This window comes from Homo sapiens, chromosome 9, assembly GCF_000001405.40.
Source record: "Homo sapiens chromosome 9, GRCh38.p14 Primary Assembly".
In the NCBI taxonomy this organism is placed as follows: domain Eukaryota; kingdom Metazoa; phylum Chordata; class Mammalia; order Primates; family Hominidae; genus Homo; species Homo sapiens.
In genome coordinates this window covers 13088892-13111609 of record NC_000009.12, presented here as the reverse complement: position 1 = coordinate 13111609, position 22718 = coordinate 13088892, and the positions used below count along the sequence as shown (strand labels likewise).

The 22718-nt window shown below is 36.5% G+C and overlaps 1 protein-coding gene across 57 annotated transcripts in view; it reads left to right on the top strand.

The window, feature by feature from the left end:
- MPDZ (multiple PDZ domain crumbs cell polarity complex component) overlaps positions 1 to 5903 on the top strand; it is a 173986-nt gene extending 168083 nt beyond the window's left edge. For all 57 annotated transcript variants that reach the window (NM_001375425.1, NM_001375420.1, NM_001375419.1 and 54 more), the window contains 4 exons: positions 870 to 974; positions 1546 to 1658; positions 2551 to 2674; positions 4499 to 5903. In NM_001375425.1, the coding sequence (NP_001362354.1) occupies positions 870 to 974; positions 1546 to 1658; positions 2551 to 2674; positions 4499 to 4645 (489 nt within the window). In that variant the 3' untranslated portion in view covers positions 4646 to 5903. The remainder of the gene's footprint in view (positions 1 to 869; positions 975 to 1545; positions 1659 to 2550; positions 2675 to 4498) is intronic.

Below are 22718 nucleotides of genomic sequence, written 5' to 3'. Positions count from 1 at the left end.
TATAAATATGACTTACAATGTTATAAAACTATATGCAACTTGCCTCAAAGCTGAGGGATTATCCAAATTGTGGAGCATTGCAATGGAATTTATGCCAACTGCCCAGCTCTAAAAATTACATGAATATTCCATTAACGCAACTCAGTCTCTCTAAAGCAAAATCTCTATGGTTTCATACCTCAAATAGGTCTCAGAACATAACCACATTTTAGTTTAAATAGTCTTTAGGCTGGGAATGGTTCAGCCTCGTTTGATATCCAAATTTATGGCTGACACTTAAAACCTGATTGTATACATAGCACAGGGTCAGTAAACTTCTGGAAGGACAGATACTGAATATTTTAGGCTTTGTGGGACCTGTGAGTCTCTGTTGCAACTACTCAACTCTGCGCTGTGAAAGCAGCCAAATAAGCATGGCTGTCTTCCAACCAGACTTTATTAACCAAAACAGGCAGTGGGCCAAATTTGGCCTCTGGGCCTTAGTTTGCCAACCTCCGACTTAGAGTCACATCTAATGATTATAATAGTAATGTCCAGAGAAATTTCAGTTTCCAAATGATAGTGAATTTTTTTTTCTTTTAATAGGAAGTAATGTCTCACCCAAGAGAAATGAAGAGCAGGGAAGAGTGACTTTCTCCTTCTCCCTCCCTCTCCCCTGGATATGGAACTCAACCATTATGCACTGCTTCTTTTTGTGGTTGCTGCTTTTTGGACTTCTTGGAATTAGTGGTTTCCTTGGTTATATTTCAGTGGCTGGTAGCAGTATATATGTCATGTGGAAGGTGGAGAAGGAAATGAATACTTAGGTCTCAAAGACCCACTCTCCATGGCTGCTTTAGCAGATGGCTGTTTCTTTCTCTCCCTTGCAGGTTGGGGATAGGATTGTCACCATCTGTGGCACATCCACTGAGGGCATGACTCACACCCAAGCAGTTAACCTACTGAAAAATGCATCTGGCTCCATTGAAATGCAGGTAAGATTTTTATCCCAAGCATAATTCAGAATATAGGTAGCCTGAAGACACATGAGCTTTGATGTTAAAGCAGTAAAAATGATTAAATCTTCTGCTATTATTTTATTTAATATTTCTCTTGAACATAAATGATTAAATTAAGAGTTCCAATAAAGTGCATATGAGACATATTTTGTAACATTTTACTCTGATGCATTGATTGTTTTATACTTTAAGGGGAAAAAAATCCAGGCCTTAGCAGTACATGATTATTTGCTGGAATTTTAAGTGGTGCTAGCAAGTGGCTTATATTCTAAAGATCTTTAAAAAGTAATTACATATGAGACCACATTTTAAAAACATCAAAGAACTTTGTAGAATAGAATTAGAAGAATATGTTTACTGTCAGGACAGTTAAGAGCCTCTGGACCTTGTGAAATTTCATTCTCTTTGGTTGTATTTTATGTTAACAGAAATGTTTAAATGAACAATAAAATATACATTTTAATCCAAGTGCTCTTTCTGAAGAAAAATTACTTTCCCTAGCCACAGGAACATGTGTTTTTTCTGTTTATCCTCCTCCTGTGCGCAGGTGGTTGCTGGAGGAGACGTGAGTGTGGTCACAGGTCATCAGCAGGAGCCTGCAAGTTCCAGTCTTTCTTTCACTGGGCTGACGTCAAGCAGTATATTTCAGGATGATTTAGGGTGAGTTCATACATGATGATTAGTGTATCATTTTTCACTTATGAATCAAGTCTTCCTGACAGTTGCGTTCTCTGTCCCATGTTTCTAGGAATTACGTACAGGTAAAATGATAGGATATATGAAGTGTGAATTATACATATCAGGTGCTTCTAAACTTAAATAATTGTGGCATGGATTTAGCTGATCAAAGATAAGTAGAGATAGATAACTAGCTAGATAGATATGCGTGCTACTACCCTTCCCATGGTTTCAGCTCTGATTTTGGGGCGGAGGACATTTTAGTCTTGATGTTACCACTTCATGTAATATGGAGCAAGTCAAATCTATCATTTTAAAATTTCCCGCACTGCCTATTCATCTAATATATTATCATTTGGACTGAAAAAATTCACAGTATTAAGTAACAATACTTGGATACAAAAGCATTGGAAAACAGAGGAGAAGAGAGAGGCGCATTAGAAATTTTAAATAATTTGATGCAGCTTTTCCATTGCTTATAATTGATTTTTCTCTCTGAGCTTGGGCGTACTGATGTTTATGACTTATTCTAATATAGTCCCCTGAACTTTAGCCCTCTCACTTTAAATAAACTGGAAAAAGAATGAGCTTCTCTGTACAATGAGAACATGCCATGAATATGTTAGTTTAAGGGAACTGTAAATGAGTAATAGAATTAGGGTGTTAAGTAGGATTTCATTAGATTATGTAAATTTAAAATACCAAGCACAGCATGCACTGACAATTTAAGCATCTCAAAAATACCCGTAATATACTCCTTGTCAGTAACAAAGAGAATTATGCTAGCTCTAGGTGGATGTCAGATAATTCATAACATATATGTATAGTTTTTTTTTTTTAATTTAAAACCTCTTTTTCCTTTCCTTCACCGTAGACCTCCTCAATGTAAGTCTATTACACTAGAGCGAGGACCAGATGGCTTAGGCTTCAGTATAGTTGGAGGATATGGCAGCCCTCATGGAGACTTACCCATTTATGTTAAAACAGTGTTTGCAAAGGTAAGCTTGCAAATTTTAACCACCCTCTTTTCCCCTAAACATTCATTAATAGTGGTCAGCAGCTGGCTTATTAGTTTATGGCCTGAGGTAATGCCAAATGGTTAACAGTTGATCATTTCTTTTCAAAACTCCCTACAGGAACAGGTCATTAAATATTTTTGTCCAATTTGAGGTTTCATTATATTTAAAGGAAAATAGGCTCAAATTGAAACTCCATGGAAACTCAACAATATACATAAAAATATTAATGAACTTTGGTTAGTAAAGCCTATTTTTTTTTCTTTGAACACAAATTGCACATGATCGTCTTTTGAAAATGGGACATTTTAAATAAGTATGCTGTAGAGCACTGGTATTTCTGTTTGCATTTTTTTGTTGTGAAATATAAAATAGTTATAGAGAAGTACATAAAGTACACATGAAAATTAATAAGCATTTATTTTATAAATTTAATTTCATTGAATAAAACAAAAATAACTACTGAAAAAATGTAGGGAGTATCCAGCAGCCCTATCATCTATAATAAGTCAGCGATTTGCAATCAAGGGATTCAATTAAAAAGACTGTATAGTTATAATTATATAATACCTATTCTAGCTTAAGAAGGTTTAGAATAAGAATAAAGATATTGCAGTACTGGTAAAGCTATTAAAATAATTTAAACCCATGTAATTATTGTTAATATGTTAAGTCGTTTTTCAGGGGCTACAAAATTCGACAAGATTTTCTGCAGGGAAAAATTTAGAATCTCAAAATTTTACAGTGTCAAAAGAAACAAAACTTAGTCAAACGTGTTTAAAAATTTGATACAGGGCCTTTGGATTAGTGGTATAGTTCTTTATGGATATTTTATTTTATTATTTTGGAAAAGATCTTTTTTTTAGCCAATTTAAAGTGTTGTACCTACAACAAGCTAGCTATAGGCTTAATTTATAAGATTTTTAAAAAAGCTATCGGTATGTCCAAAAATACAAACAGCATTTGCTAGTGAATAGAAGAGTCATACAGTCCTTTTCCTCAGCCTAGGAACAATTTATTTAAGGCATGCTAGTTAGAACATATTTTAAGAATTTCATCATTATGGATTCCTCATTAACTTTTCCATATTTTTAATTTTATATTTAATTGCATAATTGTCTTCTATAAGCGTGCTTTAAGATGGGGTTCTTTTTCTAACACCAATGTCTGTATTTAATCTTAATCATTTAGGGTCCATAAGGAATATGAAGAATCTCTCTACCCTTGGGAAGTAAGAACTAAGACAGCTTGAATAGCTTTTTCAAAACCACAAAAAGAAATAGCAGTGGGTTTTAAATTTAGAACTTATGCCTTATCCTGCCATAGGGAATGTTCAGGTGGCTTTGTGCTTTTGCAGACCTTTGGATTTTGTCATCCCCCAAGCCCTTGTCCTGTAAAACTGTTTTTGTTCCTACCTAATCCTTTACCTTCTTTCTGTAGGTCTTATTTACAGGATAGAAAATCCTGGATTCTATTGAATCATTCCTACTAGGCAAATTCCCAAATATTCTTTATTAATTTGTGTTCCCACCAACTGCTGTGCTGAACAGCCAAAAACCCATCCAACTGATCTATCGACTGCTAAATTCTCTCTCAAATTGGTATCTCAATGCTAAAACCATTTAGGAGAAAGACCTTCTTTGTCTATGTTCATCATTGCTTAATGGCTTAGAGCACCCATGGAGCACTGGGAGCAGTGTGTGTGTACAAGCAGAGCAATTTACATTCCTGTTGAGATCTTTTTCTGTTGTGAGTTGCAAGGCAGCATTTTTTGAGAAATAAACAAGTCTACTTTATAATTTGCAGGGAGCAGCCTCTGAAGACGGACGTCTGAAAAGGGGCGATCAGATCATTGCTGTCAATGGGCAGAGTCTAGAAGGAGTCACCCATGAAGAAGCTGTTGCCATCCTTAAACGGACAAAAGGCACTGTCACTTTGATGGTTCTCTCTTGAATTGGCTGCCAGAATTGAACCAACCCAACCCCTAGCTCACCTCCTACTGTAAAGAGAATGCACTGGTCCTGACAATTTTTATGCTGTGTTCAGCCGGGTCTTCAAAACTGTAGGGGGGAAATAACACTTAAGTTTCTTTTTCTCATCTAGAAATGCTTTCCTTACTGACAACCTAACATCATTTTTCTTTTCTTCTTGCATTTTGTGAACTTAAAGAGAAGGAATATTTGTGTAGGTGAATCTCGTTTTTATTTGTGGAGATATCTAATGTTTTGTAGTCACATGGGCAAGAATTATTACATGCTAAGCTGGTTAGTATAAAGAAAGATAATTCTAAAGCTAACCAAAGAAAATGGCTTCAGTAAATTAGGATGAAAAATGAAAATATAAAATAAAGAAGAAAATCTCGGGGAGTTTAAAAAAAATGCCTCAATTTGGCAATCTACCTCCTCTCCCCACCCCAAACTAAAAAAAGAAAAAAAGGTTTTCTAATGAAAATCTTTAAAAATACTGTCAGTATTTTAAAATTTTCAACAGTATTATAAAAACATTGCATCTCCCCACCTCTAATATGCATATATATTTTTCCTGCTAAAATTGGTTTCTACAATTGAGTAAATGGCAAATACATGAAGCAATGTCCCTAAATTTTATAAAGAAATTATATTTAATGCACATTTCAATTTTCATTCTTATTTTTGACCTTTTGTAAAATATTTTCATGTTGCTATAAGTAAATGATGATGCCACCCCATGTTGACTATGGTTTTTCTAGAAAGCAACTATGCTGCTAACCATAGAGGAACATAGAAGGGTTCCAGAATCTTTAGTGCTGGTTTTAACAACCGATGCAACATTAAAAATGTGTTAGTGTGCTGTGCAATTGGTTTTCAATTCATATTAATCTTAATGACAGAGAACAATGTGTTACTAATTATTTTGGTTGTATGCCATTAGTAAATTGATAGAAAAATTAAGGGGATTAACATAACTTCATTTCATTGACTTATATTAACATCTTATAATACAATAGTTTAAGACTAAGGGAAACAGATGGAGCTGTTTATTGAGACAACTGGTGAGGAATTATCATGTGTTCATTCCCATTTTAGAGCGTGAAACTCCTACATTAGAATATATAAAGTCACTTTAAATATCTATATTTGTAACAGAAGTAGTGTACAGATATTTTATTACAGCATTTTTGTGTAAATGCAGAATTAAAGTGAATAAATAAGAATTTTCAGTGGTGCACAAATAAGCAGCAAGCATTTTTTTTGTTCTTTTTACTGTGGAAAAGCTTTGTTATATACTGTTCAAGATTTACAACTTAAAATTGGTTTTTATCATGTCTAACTGCACATATGGTGTCCATAGTTACAGCTAAAGGAACTTTGGACAACATCATTATGGAAAGCTTAATATTTTTTACCTCCACAATTTTTTCTAGCACTAAAGATTCATAGACTCCTCATAGATGAGAGGAAGATGACATTGTAGAAAGAGAAGTATCCTGCCTGTATATGTTTTTCTCAAATGCTGTTAATGCAGTAATATTGTAAGTTGCTCTTTTGTGTGGTCAAGAACTATTCAAGTGTATTCAGATGGACAAAATCATAATCAAAATTATTTGTATTAATAAACATGACAAGTCCAACTTGAACACTGAGCAAGGAATGAGGGGAACTCTGTTCTACTAGTTTTGTACCAAATTAGCTAACAAACGTGCATTTCCCTCTCATTCATCTTATCTGTAAAATGATAGATTATTTTATCACAAAGGTTCTATTTAGTTCTAAAATATAAGAATTCCGTGATTCTTAGTTACACAAAACGAATAGAAGAAACTGCATATTGTAACAACTCAAAGTTGTTAACCAATCATTGTAAATTTAGGCGCTCAATGTAACAAAACTCATTTTAGTATCCCAGTGACACATCTACCTTCTTAGCCATCATTTAGTGGCTCTCCATAACGAAAGATGCCATTATTTCATGGTAGGCTGCTGGAAGATGAACTAACCTCACATCTGAGTTTGAGCTAGCAAAGAATTTTTATAGAGGATGCTCCATACCAGACTGTATGGGAGAAAGCCACCCAACCCCTTCAAGTTTCATAATGTCTAAGTGCCCCCAACAAGAACAGCCCAGTTTAAATAGTGTCTTCCCATGATTCATGTCCATCTGGAACCTCAGAACGTGACCTTTGGAAATGGGGTCTTTGCAGATGTAATGAGTTAAGTTCATGCTGATTTAGGGTGTTCTCTATCCTAGGACTGGTTTCTGTGTAAGTAGGTATTGTGAAGGCACAGACATAGGGAAGAAGGCCCCATGAAGATGGAGGCAAAACAAAACAAAACAAACAAGCCAAGGAATACCTAGGGGGCCCTCAAAAGCTGGAAGAGACAAGGAATGTTTTTTCCCTAGGGCCTTCAGAAAGAAGTTGGCCTTATTGACACCTTGATTTCAGGCTTCTGCCCTCTATACTGTGAGAAAATAAATCTCTGTTGTTTTAAGCCACAGTTTGTGGTACTTTGTTTAAGCACTGGGAAACTGTTAGAGTATCTTAAATGTTGGTTGCACGTGGTGGCTCATGCCTGTAATTCCAGCACTTTGAGAGGCCGAGGTGAGCTGATCTCTTGAGCTCAGGATTTTGAGACCAGCCTGAGCAACATGGTAAAACCCCGTCGCTACAGAAAGTACAAAAAACAAAAAAAAACAACTAGCCAGACAGCTACTCGGGAGGCTGAGGCAGGAGAATCACTTGAGTCTGGGAGGCAGCGGTTGCAGTGAGCCAAGATCGCACCATTGCACTCCAGTGGGCAATGGGAGTAAAACCTTGTCTCAAAAAAAAAAAAAAGTTTGTGTCCTGAGCTACTGTCATTATGTCTGGCTAACAGGAGAAACTCTGTGAGTAGCTATTAATTAACAAAGACAAAGCACATTAAAGAGAAAATGGAAGGAGGGAGGGAGGAAGGAAAGTAAAGTTTGAGAGGAAAAGAATATAGATTCATAAGTCCTGGGGATAAGTAATGAAGCCTTATGCTTGCTATATTTTTTCTTTCTGGAAATATAGTAGTTGTCTGTGGTGAAAGAAGAAAGAAGAAAGTACTTGAACAAAGAGTTTAAATAAAGACTTGACTATTACAATGTTAATGCCAACATACTACCCAAAACAGTGGATTGCCCATAATAGGTTCCATAAATATAATTACGTTTGATTAAATCAAACTGGAAATACCACAGATTTCTGGTATTCTTCATACCACTCCAAAAGGATAATAACAGTAATAAAGTATTTCATATATACACACACACACACACACACACACACACACACACACACACACACACACACATATATTAGCAGCAGGAATAGCAAGGTAATGTAGCCAATCAGTAAAATTCATATATCAGAACAGTGATGGAGTTAGAAGCATAAAAAAATTAAAATTCGTTAAAGATAAGACAAAGGGGCCGGGCACAGTGGCTCACACCTGTAATCTCAGCACTTTGGGAGGCTGAGGCAGGCAGATCATGAGGTCAGGAGATCAAGACCATCCCGGCTAACAGTGAAACCCTGTCTCTACTAAAAATGCAAAAAAATTAGCCGGGCATGGTAGCGGGCGCCTGTAGTCCCAGCTACTTGGGAGGCTGAGGCAGGAGAATGGTGTGAACCCGGGAGGTGGAGCTTGCCGTGAGCCGAGATCACGCCACTGTGCTCCAGCCTGGGTGACAGAGTGAGACTCCGTCGCGAAAAAAAAAAAAAGATAAAGGAGGAGAGGGTTTTTTTTTTCCATTTTATGAATCTTGACAAAGCAGATTCTGATAGATAGGAAGAAGCAAAAGGAGCTCTTCCCTGCTCTGAGGTATATGATACTAAACTGCCTTAGATTTGCTCAGCTAGTTTATTGTCTGAGAATGCCGTACAATGATTTGGTGCCCCTCTTGAGATCCCAGGGTGAATAGAGAAGTTGAAAGGATGTGTTCAGGGAGACAAGTAATAAATAGGCTTTTTTTTTTTTGGTCTAGGTGTGGGAATGTCAAAACTATCATCACTTGCTTTCAGCAGCCCTGGTGTGTTGTTTCATGTCAGTGACAGATATTCTGGAATGCATTTGATTTGTGCAAAGATGTTTCTCAACTTTGACTACTAGGAATTAATGTTTAACTTTGTCCTTTTCTAAAGAGAGTTATTTGTAAGGCAGGATTGGCCTTCAATACCTTAAGAGGCAAAAAATTGGTGTCAAGAAAAGTTCTAACTAAGAGCATGAAAACTGGGGAAAGCAAATGTTCTTAAGGTGATTTTTATATGCTTGGCATTGAATTTTCCTTTTCCTCAAAATACAAGTATTCCATATTCATTTCAGTGTAATTTAGAACAAAAATGGTATTATCTGTGTAAGAATTGTTATTGTCAGTCAAGTACTGAAAGTTCAATAATAGGCCCTTAAAAGGCATTATGTCAAGCAGGAGGCAAATGTATGGTAAGGATCTCAGAATTGCTTCACTGGAGTTGTTATTTGAAATTTCCAAAAGGATAACACCATCAAAACACTGCCTTAGGCTGCTTCTAGGAGGAAACTTCAACTTATTCACTTAACTTTAGACACTTTTTGGAAGGTTGTGTCAAGTGTGAGTATTTTGTGATCCTTTCTCCCCTCACCCTCCTCCTCTTTACATCCATATTTTCAGAAACAAACACAGTTATCCTTGGAAAACATAATTTTTCTTCTTACATATTTTCTTATTGATGTACTGGAAATTATGATTTTTGACCCGAGTCTACCTTAAAATATTTGGCATTCACGGTTCCACTACACTGAACTTCATTCACCTAAATGTACTTTATTACATTCGGCAAAACTTAAAAGATTTATCTTGTTTTGGAAAATTAAATGAGATAACTGCATGTGAAGTACTAATACTGTGCACAGAATAAGCTTTTAAGGAATGATGGCAGCAGTTGTACTTATAAGACATAGAGTCATATAAATTCAGTACTTTCTCTAAATAACCTTCCATTTTTATATTTGTGTAATCATGTCTTTTTCTTTGGAAGTTGGATGCAAATCAACTTATACAAAACTTTCCAAAGTTTCACTTGTTTTACATACAACCTTCATGATGTTTCCCATGTTTTTCTATAACTGTACTATAAATTACTAAACATTTTTCTTTAAAGCAGACTGATTTTAAGTTGAATTTGCTCAAAAGAAATAGTATCTCATTACTTTCAATGGAAAACCAGTATCATTTGCCATAAATACAAAATGACTATGAGCAAAAGTTCATAAAGCAAAGGAACAAAATTCTGCCAAGATACTATTATCTACCAAGAGTCAAAACTGTAGGTCTGCACCCTGCTCTCTGTTAGAAAGGGAGAATCACAAATGTTAGAATAGTGTTAAAAACTCCATGGAAACTTTTCTGGGCTTAAAGGAACTGAATGGCATTTTCATACCTTTCTAATGCTGTGATTTAATATTTCCTGGTGCCTTGTCAGTGCCACCTGAAATCATGATCTTATGATGTGCTTCCTCTTTGGAAAAAACTCTAAAATAGTAACACTAAAATCAAGAACATTTTGTTTATAGGACTCCTTTTTTTAAGATGTGAAAGCCAGCCAGTCAATTCCTGTTCTTAAGTATATTCTTAGCTAGGGAGGTTGCTTAAGATTTTGTTTATAAGACTTTCACTAAAATCAGAATTGGGTCATCGCACCCAGTGCTTTAGTTTTGGAAATCTGAGTTTGAAATAAAGGATAAATGACATAAATTAATGGAGTAAAATTAATGTTGTGATAATATTAAATAAAGCTAATGCCTTTTGCACCTGGAGGGCTATGCAGATGGCAGGCATACCTAATTATGCACCCTGCTTGCCTTTAAGTATACTGATAGAAATCTCTCAACTGAGTATAAAATATGTTCATTCACTGGCTCCAGAAAAGTTTGAGTAAGGCAACACAATCCACAAAAAGCCTAACATGCTTATTTTTTAGTGGAAAGAAATACAATTCTATAAGTTAAAATGAAATAATTGAATACTTATTTTTAAAACAAGTTATTACTACTGTTGGATTTGTTCTTTCTGTGAATATCAAAATATATGCCTGTCATTCCCATTAGAAAAAGATGATTCTCAAACTAGCAAGGAAGTACTTAAATGTAAGTTTATATTTTTACAGACTGCACACAAAGAGAATAATTTACTAGTGGAATTCTAAATAAATTGATTTGCTTTCTTTACGTATAAATCGGATTGGTTAATCATTGCTGAGATATTTATAAACTTGTTCAATTCTTTAAGATGTAACTTCTCTAGAAAATATTTTGCTTTAGTTAAAAATGTAGATATTTTGCTACAGATATTTCAGAAACGTGACTGAGCTTTAAAAACCTTACTATGAGTTCTCTTCACTTAAGGAATGTATTCCCATGAACTTCATTTTGTTGCATTTGGATACCTATGCAATTAAAAGTATAACCAGCAACTACTGCTGTTAGCTTCAGAATGATTTTTAAAATCCTATTTCTAATATTTGTTACACTTTCCTATTACATTTCTTATAAATACACATGTATTTATTACCTACATTTTTAAAAATAAAGGACCAGTAAACTATGATTACTTTTCAGAGTTTTCATCAAAATAGGAGAGTGGTGTCAGGTGTTTGTAATAAAGGATGCTGGTTGATCTTTAAGAACAAGTGGCTTATTTTTAGCCTAAAGAACATACAGTTTCCTCATCTTTTACTGTTTAATCCTAGGGTTAAGAAAGAAAATGTACATTTGTTTTTGTTGTTTTTGTTTGTGAGACAGGGTCTCACATTCTCACTCAGGCTGAAGTGCAGTGGTGTGATCTTGGCTCACTGCAACCTGCACCTCCCATGCAATTCTCACACCTCAGCCTCCCGAGTAGCTAGCTAGGACTACAGGTGCAAGCCACCACACCAGGCTAACTTTTGCTTTTTTTTTTTTTTTTTTTTTTTGGTAGAGACAGGGTTTCACATTTGCCCAGGCTGGTCTCGAACTCCTCCTGGGCTCAAGCAATCCACCCGCCTTTGCCTCCCAAAGTACTGTGAGAAAAGTTTCACATTTAAACTTTACATTTGTAATAGTTGTCAACCACATTTATTTGTAAGTGTCTGCTTATTATTGCTTCTATTCAATGGTGTTGATCAAAAGAGTCAAACTCTGTAAAATATTTGAGATTTATTCTGAGCCAAATATGAGTGACCATGGCTCATGACACAGCCCTCAGGAGATCCTGAGAACATGTGCCCAAGGTGGTCAGGGTACAGTTTGGCTTTATATATTTTAGGGAGACATGAGATATAAATCAATACATGTAAGATGTATGTTGGTTTGGTCTGGAAATGGGGGACAAGTGGAAGCTGGAGCTTCCAAGTCATAGGCAAATTCAAAGATTTTGTGATTGGCCACTGGTTGAAAGAGTTATTAACAGAAAGGCATGTTTGGCTTATGATAAGGGGTTGTGTAGGCCAGGGTTTTCTCATAAAGATGAAGTTTCTAGGTAGCAGGCTTCAGAGAGAATAGATTGTAAATGTTTCTTGTCAGACCTAATCTGTTCTATCAGTAATTCCAAAAGGGAGGAGGGTATAATAAGGCATGTCTGGCTACCCCTTCTTATCATGGCCTGAACTCATTATTCAGGTTAACTTTGGAATGCCCTTGGCTGAGAGGAGGAGTCCATTCAGATGGTTGGGGGGCCTTAGAATTTCTATTTTTGGTGTACAGTAGTTAATTTTTTCTAAAGCTTTTCCTTTCTGTACATTACAGTTATTCATATAGCAAAGTTATCAATGTTTTATCCTTCACTTTGCCTGTCTTGCTCTTGCATTTAATGTAAATCATAGCTGATAAATGTCATATAAGGAAGGAACTCTAGATTTCTCTGAAATGTAGTGTGAAGGGCATGGGCCTTCAGAGCTCAGGGCCCTGAGTTCGTAACCTGGCTGGGCTCCTGATTAGCAGGCAACTGACTTCTCTGAGCCTCTGCCTGCTTTGTTGGTAAAATGGAAATAATAACATTTTTCCTCACAGCACTCTTAGTATCAAATGAGATGAGGTGGTTGCATATGATAGCACCTGATAAATGCTAGAAATATTGTTACCACTGCGAAAGTCAGTGTAACTTCAGAGCTGTGGTGATACATATAGTGGAATTGTGGGGGGCCATCTGAAAGAGTGTTCTAACACTACTATGAATTTGTATCCCGACTTTCAAAATAAACTTGTAAAGTGCCTTCCTACTTTCTTATTCTAGAGATTTCCTCATAATTTCTGCCAGAAAGGGAAGCTAAAAACAAAAAGGATTCTAGGAGAATTGAGAGCTGCAAGGTCTCATTGATTGGTGAAGTGAATGTGCCACTCCTTAACATTTTAAATAAGAGATGTTTTGGATGGGAGATATTTAAACCTAGTGAGAGGTTTTATCAATCAAAACCCCAGCACTTGTATAATAAGCCAAGTATCTAGTTTTCAAGATAATGGGAAATTGCAAAATATCCATCACTCATATAATCCCTCCTCTCCAGTCATCTGTGTTAATTAGGATAAGTAGATTCCACTTTAATGCCCTTTTTATGTACAGTCCCTCTTCAAAAGGAGGGAAAAAGAAGAACTTAGCTTGGTAGACTAAACAGTATTCTAGAAGGAAGTTGGTGAGATCATACTGCTGGCAAAATGCTTGTTTTCATTCATATTCGTTATTATTTCTCAAATGGTTGATAATAAATTGGAGAAATGTAAGGTGGAAATTGTATATACCTCTAATGGTTAAGTTTTCACATTATTTTAAACAGTCAAGTAAAGGAAGTTTGCTTCTAAAGAGGACTTCTGCCAAGGGATGATCCCATTTGACCATAAAATAAGCTTCATGGTCTACAAAGACCTGGCTCTGAAAGCTCATGCTGTTGAAGGTTTGTGTTAGGGTTGGGAAAATAGAGCTTCTATTTGGGATTCTGTAGCATGCTTTTCTATGGGTGTCATGCAAGAGTGATGCCTCTCTGAACTGGACAGCAGACAATTAGTACACGTAAGCCCAATTTTTAGGTTTGCACATTGGATGAGTTAAGTTGCTAAACCAGTCTCAATCTCCTTGCTAGTAAAATGTTTTATGAATATTTATTTTAAAAATCATACATTTCAAATATTGGAAGACAGTGAAGGGCCAAGAATCACTTTGAAACATTAAGGAATTGAGATCCAAAAGAATATATGTGCGGAGCCACCTGTGTGGAAGTTATCATTTGCTATGCTAAGATATATGTGTCCATGTCAAAATTGTGATGGGAAGTTCTGAGGTGTGAAAATCATTGGTAACTTTTTCTTTGTGAACCATGGACCATATTTTTTTGATGTGATGTACTTCCCATGATACTTAGGAGGCTTATCTATGTTTCAACTTTCAAATGAAAAAGAAAAGTTACTAGAAAAAGTTAATAGAACTTTATGTATAGGAATTCTGAATACTAGACAGATTAGAAACTCTGGTTGCTAAAAAAATTTTGAAAGGGAAAAATAGGATTGGAGTCCCCAATTCGATATTTTGTTTCTTTATTCTCTATTTATTCATGAGGATAATATCTTCCAGGGTTTTGAAAGTCAAAATATATAAAGGATGTGAACGTCTTTAAAGTGCTATATAAACATTGATCATTGTTATTGTATACTAGGTTAACTACACATTTAGGTTAAAAGTTACCATATTGACAAGATACTGTCTAAACAAGCATTCTACTTCCTGTTACGTAGCCCTGGAAATGAAACCTTTCTGGTGATATGTTACTTTGTTAATGAATAACATACATCCCACAACTTCCTAAAAATATAAGATGGCATATAATTTTAAATTTTGCAAATATATATATATATATATAAAATCATATATATTTAAGATCCATTAAAGAACAAGCCCTCACCAACCCCTAGCATAAACTTTCTGCCATTGTTATCATCATTGTGTCTTGGACATATCCATTTTGTAACAGATGGTTCCAGTGTATTGTTGTATTTACATTATGAACTCTGTTACTATCCTGGAAACAATATTAACACCAGAGTTTTGCTCAGAAATGGGAAGCAGGGATGAAGGAAGGAAGGAAGAAGGCAGGGAACTAAGAAAAGTTCATTGAAAGGAAAGGGGAAGATCATTAGCCTCAAGTCTATTCTGATGAGATTTCTGCCATTCAATGTGAAAGTTAAATATGGACGTCTTCAGAGTCTAGTGGAAAACAAAAGAGCAGGGGCAAATTTATAATTCTAATTTTGATGAAAGCCAGAATTTGTAATATCTTACATGTTGCATACAATGACTAAGCTTCATAACTGTCTGCTAAACAAATATGAGTTAATAATTATAAGTAAATGAAAGAATCATTTTGGGAAGGACTTGGACAATTAAAAAGAGAAACCAAGAAGAATGCAAATGCAGGCCAATGCTAGTTTGCATCTTCTATCTCTCATTTCTTTCAGATTTTTTTTTTAATTTTTCGGTTTGGGAAAATGGGACTGAGATGGTGGTAAGTTATGGATATTTTTCACAAACTAAGGAAGCCAGGGAAAAAAATGTTCAAGGTCTCCAGTGTATGAAGCAACTGCTGTTGCTTTCTGCAGACATTACCAAAACTGGTATCCCGTGACTGGTATCCATAAGAGTGCATGGTATCTAAGTGGATGCGAGCAATATGATCTTAATCTTTCTGGAATGTGAATTCTTCTCCATCAATCACAACTGATCTCAAGATAGTCTGTATTATAAAAAAGAAAATATTATATGATGTATATCTTATTTAATCAAACCCACTTTCCAAACTCGGTGCAGCATTTATTGGACGAACAAAAACTCTTCATAGAAATTAGTACTTAGGCCTTGTTTATCTACTTGACTTTTACCTTAGGTAATATTAGTGATAATCAACATAGTTTAGTCCAATGGTACCATTTAGTGTCATGCAAGGAAAAAGAATATTTCCTCTGTCCTTTATGAGCCATCTTAAAGTCCCTTGAGAGACATCATAACAGATGGCTAGAGATGGAGATGTGAAGTAATGCCAAATTTTAGATACTCCAGATGAAATGAGTTTTCTGAATTAAATTATTAAGTAAGTTGGTCCAATATCTAAATATTTCTCTAGTGTAGATTTGACTTGAAGTATAATCAAAATAAGTATAAACCAAAAACAACACATAGGACAACAATGAATTGTATTTATGATTTGATAACCAGGGTGCTCTTTGGTTAGAGAATTTTTTTTTACCTGTATCCTGCATGAACACTGTAGAGACTGTTTTCTAGAAACAGATAATTGATTACAAGCCCAATGGCTATAGGGACATCCTTGGTAGTATCTTCCCCTACTTCTCCTTCTCCCCCCCGCCAAACTACTCTCTCCCTGTACCAAAGGTATTTGTATGTTATTCACACTGTCATAGCAGTTCCCTTGCAGTTCCCATATTCTTTTTCTCTATGTGATTATCTTCACTCTTGCTCAGGACTGTAGAATGATTCCTTACATCTCTTGGGGAAATAAATAAAAGCTAAATTCCTGGGAATGAAAGGATGTAGTCTTTGCATTGGATAAAAATAAGTAGCAAGTGGCAGTGATGGCATTTACTCAAGGAGGATCATAACATTAATTACCTCAGTTCAGATGAGTAGACAAAAAGTCCATGGCCTGAGGCTAAGCTGAGAAAGTAAGGCAAAGGTAAGAAGGAAGAGGCAACTTGATGGAAGAACCAGGGGAAGCCTTAAATTCCAACCCGTTGTTTTACTAGAGAGGCTGAAGAACCGCAGGTATTCTCAGAATTTCCCAAATTTTATCTAGACTTGATGTTTTCAACCCTTCCTTGACAAAAGAAGAAGCCAAAGTCTATGGGGAGGTAAGTGGTTGGACAGTTCTGAGAAGTCTATTTTCCCCATGCCCTAGTCTTTCATCTTCCATAGCTAAACATGACTTTCCTGACGATTAAGCCCTTTCTACCCATGGCTTACTCATCACCTTCTCAATCGCTTCCGCTTTCTCATGGGCCCTTTCCAAATCCTTCATACGTATGCCATTTATATTGTAAAGTTGAAATCTAAGGCTAGTTTTCATAAAGGCATGATCAGTGGTTACACCATAATTTATATGTAACACAAATATAAGTAGACCATATTCAAAGAAGCACAGTCTGGCAACCAAAAAATATAACTAAAAGCAGTCTAAACATTCATTTCATTTACAAAATGTTCGTTGTTACGTCCATTAACCTTAAAAATCTTTTCACTTCTGTTTCATCCTAATTTTTCACATTCAAAAAATGGATTTAAAGTTACCTTCCCTCCCCTCCTGGCTCATTCCTCAATACTTTTTCTTTCCCCTTTTTTACTGCTCCATTCCTTTCCTCTGTCTTCAAACAGGAATGACCACTTCTGCATGCCAGGCATGTTAGGCTGACCCAGGACCGCCAGATGACCCAGAAACTTTATATACTTCTCACCTGTCATGGACAGAAGCACACAATAGTCCCCTAAGAAATACAGTTCATTAACTCTGACTGCTTTTCTTGACAAGTCATCCCATTACCTGGATTCAGCATATAAGTAGATAATAGCAAGCAAAAAATATCCTTTTTTGAAGTACAAATGTGTTTATTTTCCATGTATATTCTCTCTCTCTTTCCCTTTATCAAAGGGCCATTTTTCCCCCACCACACTTTTGTCCCCGCAGACCACACTGAAACCTAAGCGAAGTCTCAAAGTAGCTGCTGGCAAAAATGTTAGGAAAAAACATGTGGGTGCCTTACAGAGAGTGTTTTCACTCCTCAAAACTATATCAGAATAGGGCTGGTGAGGAAGAAGGAATGGAAGGAGTGAGAACATGGGGACCTTCAAGTGGGAAGGAGGAGAAGAATCAGTCCTCCATTGTTAGGACCAAGGAGCCTTGGGGAGAGGACTGAGTGCCAAATTGTCCTCGAATGATAATCCCCAGTTGCCATCTGCTTTGCAGTTGAACCATAGTGCCCTGACTCTGCCCCTTTCCCACGCCATTGCCTGTGGATAACCTGCCATCCCACTGGACTAGTGACCTGTAAGTCCCCCAACCGAAGTGGGGGCATTGGAGGACTTGGATGGCCTTGGTGATATGGAGGGAAAATTTCTGATGCAGGAGCTGCAGTGAGGGGAGCAACAGTTCATTACCAGTTGGAAAGTTCTGTAAGAGCCAGGGCAGCAAGAACCACGGTGCTTCTGTTTCCCACATATGGGTATCTAAATCCTTATACAGAAGATGTCTCCAGCTCCCAAGTGGAGACATTTATTTGGCAGGAATTGGGGACGGAGGGTATGGTGGTTGAGGAGAGAACTTAGAATACATTTTACCACTGTTTTTGCGAATGGTTAGGCTCTCTAGATCCAGACTGTTTTGTTAAGGGAAGAATCTTCCTCCTCTAAACTGTGAAGAGAGTTCAGTAGCTCCTCCCTCCCCAAGGTAGTCTTATGTGGTCACTGTCAGAGGGCTAGCCCTGTTTCTCAATGTGTGCCCTGAGCAGGGACAAGAAGGGAAAGAGTTTACTCTCACCATGCAATCTGCAGGTCAGCATGGTTGTCTTGGCTACCAGGCTTACCTTGAATCAAACAAAGAGTCACCTCTTTCATGTTTCATATCTTTTTTACTTAGACCTTTTATTTTTCTTGTCCTTGTCCTTGATTGCCTTGATTGTCATCTTCATGCTTTCTGGGTTCCCTCTTCAGGGCTGGCACATCTGTCTGATGGTGTTCAGGACATGCTACCCCATGTATGGCACCTTGACATATTGAATATTTTAAGCTGAAAGCATTTGAGAAACAGCGAATGTGGGGAAGACTTTCTGACTTTCCTCTGAAGCAGGTCATACAGGACCCTCATGTGAAAGGTTTTCTCCCTTTATCTGGAGGAAATGAGAATCCTTATTTCCAAAGACAGAGCATCGCCAAGAGGAATCTAAATGAACAGGTCGTCCTCAGTTTCCCCCAGTTTACTACTCTTAGCTCATACCCCCTTTCTGTCCTATCACAGTTTCCCGTAACTCTCCCCTTGTTCATCAGACCTACTATAATCAAATCTAGTTGTTGTGTCACATAGAGCTTATATTAAATAAATGTGTAGACATTTCTTTGTTTATTTGCATTTTGTTACAGGGAGCCCAGCTGAGAACATAGAAGGACAGAAAGAAAAGATATTTTTCCTCCCTTCCATATCCAAAACACCAACTCTCACCTAGTGCCCAATTACTGCATACTGCATGCCTTACAGTTTCTTTTTTCTTTTTTCTTTTTTTTTGTTGTTGTTGTTGAGATCGAGTCTCACTCTGCTGGCCAGGTTCGAATTCAGTGGCACAATCTCGGCTCACTGTAACCTCCGCCTCCCAGCTTCAAGTGATTCTCCTGCCTCAGCCTCCCAAGTAGCTGGGATTATAGGTGTGTACCACCATGCCCGGCTAATTTTTGTATTTTTAGTAAAGACAAGGTTTCGCCATGTTGGCCAGGCTGGTCTCAAACTCCTGACTTTAAGTGATCCACCCACGTCTGCCTCCCAAAGTGCTGGGATTACAGGTGTGAGCCACCATGCCTGGCCTACATGCTTTACATTTTCAAGTGTGGTCCGCCTGCCCTGCATTTGTCATTGTTATCGTCTGCCCACGCTTTGAATGAAATGCACCTGGGCTTTATCTGAGTTTCCCCTCCTGCTTGCCAAGCCTTTGTCTGGATTTGGCGGGCAGTTTGCCGTGGCGCCCTGTGCTTTCCACTGACCAAGCTGCCCCTCTTCCCTGATGGGTCCCCTCCTGTTTCACTGGCCACACCTCTCCAGTGCTTTATCAGATGGGTTCTATCACTCCCAAATATTTAACTCCCAACATGGGTTAAAATTTTATAGTTGAATGAGACAATTAAGCACTACTAATGTATTCTGATAAAATGAAGTTACATGGAAAAACTAGTGTGTGTGACGCGCTAGATGCTAATGTTTGAGGAAAGCTAGGCTTAATCAGAGCAGGGTGATGAGCAAAACACTTAAGATTTTGAAGAAAATTGTTGGCCATGTTCAGATGCTTTAGAAATGAAAAGTACAGGTCTTTTATGCATCCTGATTTTACTTCCAAATGTGTGGTTTTTATTTTCTTTGCGCTCCATGTATCACTGACAAAACTGGCTTAGACCAGTTGTTTAATCATGCCACTCCTGGCTCAAATGTGTCTTAGGCACCCCACTGCTTAGAAAAAACAAGTCCACATTTTACTTAGTACTAGAGGCACCTACAACTTAGCTTCTAATGCTCCAGTCTAATTCCTCATTTTTGTTCTAAAGAAGCTCTAGCTCCTTCATTCATTTTGCCATTTTCCAAACAAGATTGGCATATACTGGCCTCATAGTTTCGTTTAAACTTACCGTTTTCTGGGATGACCTTTTCCTCAACATATTCCTGGTTTATTCATTCTTCAAGGCTGAGCTCAGACTCCTTATCCTTCAGAAAGTTTTATGTCAAATGAGCTAATAGGTGTTAAAGTGTATCTTGTCGAAAGTACCTGGAATATAATGAACATATAAAAATAGTAGCTATTATTAATCAGAGTTCATCTTTCTTTTTGCGCTCATAAATTTTTATCTCTGGAACAGTATTTTTCAAATGTTTTATATTACTTATTAAAAAACAAAAATCTATGCTCCAAAAATAAAGTGTTGGAACACTGGTTTAAACACAGTTAAAGAAATTTGTTTTGACAGACTTATCAGAATGTCAAATATAGCAATATATCGTAAATCTTCACTGGGGAACAAAAATATCGAGAGAGATTCAAGCTCCAAGGAATACATTTTTGGGAAACACAGCTATACCACACCAACTCTGAACTGATAGAATTATTTAGCCCCAGAAGGACTGGGGCTCCTTCGGCTTTTTACTTCCATAATGTGTAACAGATGTGTCACAGAGCAGGCTATAATAGTTTTTTTTTCTTTTTAAGTTAGCATGTTGTATAGTATATTTTTCCTACGGAAACTGGACAGGAGTTGAAAGCAAGAAAGGGTCAAGAGGATGTGTTTATTATTTTTGAGGAGTTAACTGAGTTTCGAGTGGTGAAAAGAAAAACCTCTGTGTATTGTCCAACATGCAGGAAGCATGGAGCTGGAGAGGGAAATATTGGGTCAGCTTTTGGCAAATCCACTAAGTTACAACGAAATAATTTAGTTGATATTGGAAGGTTAGAGTGTAAAGTACAAGCCAGTCCTCTCATGGTCAAATATGTTTCTAAGTTGGCTGTTCTTACTCATTAAGTTCTTGTACATGGGTGTATTTTTATATTCCAATTACCTGTTATCTTTCTAGCTTGTTAAATTTGACCAAAACATTGATTATATATACTTCGAGCCAAGAATGCTATCATTCCAAACTCCTTAATAGGCTTAAGAAGTTTTGATTTTCAATACAATTTAAAAATTTATATTACTGAAGAATTTAATACAACCCCCTAATTTTATAGATGAGCCATCTTTAATGTTACCAATAATCTATGGTGAAACTGGGACTAAAACTCAGGTTTTCTGATAATAAGTGACTTTTAATTTAAGACAAGTATTTGAAAATGTTGGTTTTTTTCAAGAATCCAATACTTAAATAATTTATAAAAGTAGCTTATCATGTTAGCTTAATTGAAGGAAATTAAACAAGCATTAATCTTGTACATTTGAAGTTGGTGAAAGGAGATGAATGAATAGTAGCAAATTATTACCATTAATTTATTGAGCTGTACTCTGAAAGTTCCGACATTAAACCATTAGAATATATATAGAGAGAATATATATTAGAATACATATATAGTTCAGACATTAAACCATTAGAATATATATATATTCTAATGTATACAAATTTCTAGCAAGAAGCTACCTGAAATATTTTTCAGCTTCAACTCTTTCCTTAACAGAGTAGGAAAGTGTGGATGAACAATTTGCTTAGCAAGTATTAAAGTTCACTGATTATTACATCATATCTGTGATTTGGAGCTCAGTTAAGTTTTATCTGTTCTCCCCATAGCAATATCAGGCAAATTACCATATCAGTTTATTATTGTGCCAGCTACTAAATCTTGTGACAACTACATAGAAACAAGACTAAACATAAAAGATATTTTGATTACAATTGTGTTTACTGTTGATACAATTCTCTATACAAGCTTGATTAAATGTTTATGTTTGTATAATAGTGATTGTAATATCAAGTTACCAGGCAGAGCCATTTTGTGGATAATTTAATATTTTGTGCACTTAGAAAAGCATGTGTACATTGTATAGTCAATTGGCATATATATGGTTATAAAGCACATTCAGTAAATGGAAGTGCATTGCAAATGGATAAATTTAGATTAGTGATGAACATCATTAAAATGTTTTTATAAGAAGATGCAAGTTCCATTTATAAGGAAATTTTAGTAATAAAAAAGTAAGGATTACCCTACACGTTTTAGAGAAGTAAGTGTAGCAGATGAAATAGCTTACACCCACATTAAAACATGTGGAACACCCCAGGAGCATCAGCCATTTAGATTTCAACAACCAGTGCTCATCTGTGCACGCACAGTGCAACAGTGACACCACCGGGCCAGCTTTCTCAGACTTCTGGGGCTTTTCAAGGTGTTAAAAGGGAACTAGATGCTCACAAGAAATGCAAGAGATTGGGGGAAATGTGCAGACGATTAAAAACTCTGCTTTTAAATTATTGGGGGGGAAAAGAATCTTTCCAGCAATACTTTTAAAGTGCTGGTTCTGTGTTTGATGTGTTTTCCTCATTGACCTGAGTAAACAGAGAAAAAATCCGATGATCATTATGACTGATGAAGTAAACGTGGCTGTTCCTGATACTTCAGGCAATGTTGTCACTTGGTTGAACACCTTCCCATTTGGTTAAAATTCTCCAGGGAAAAATAAACCCACAAGAGAACACATGAAAGCCAGGAAACACCTTAATCTTCTTCTGGAATCCAAACACTAGAGGGCAGTAGAGTCCATGCTACTTCTGCTTTGTTCTCCTTTA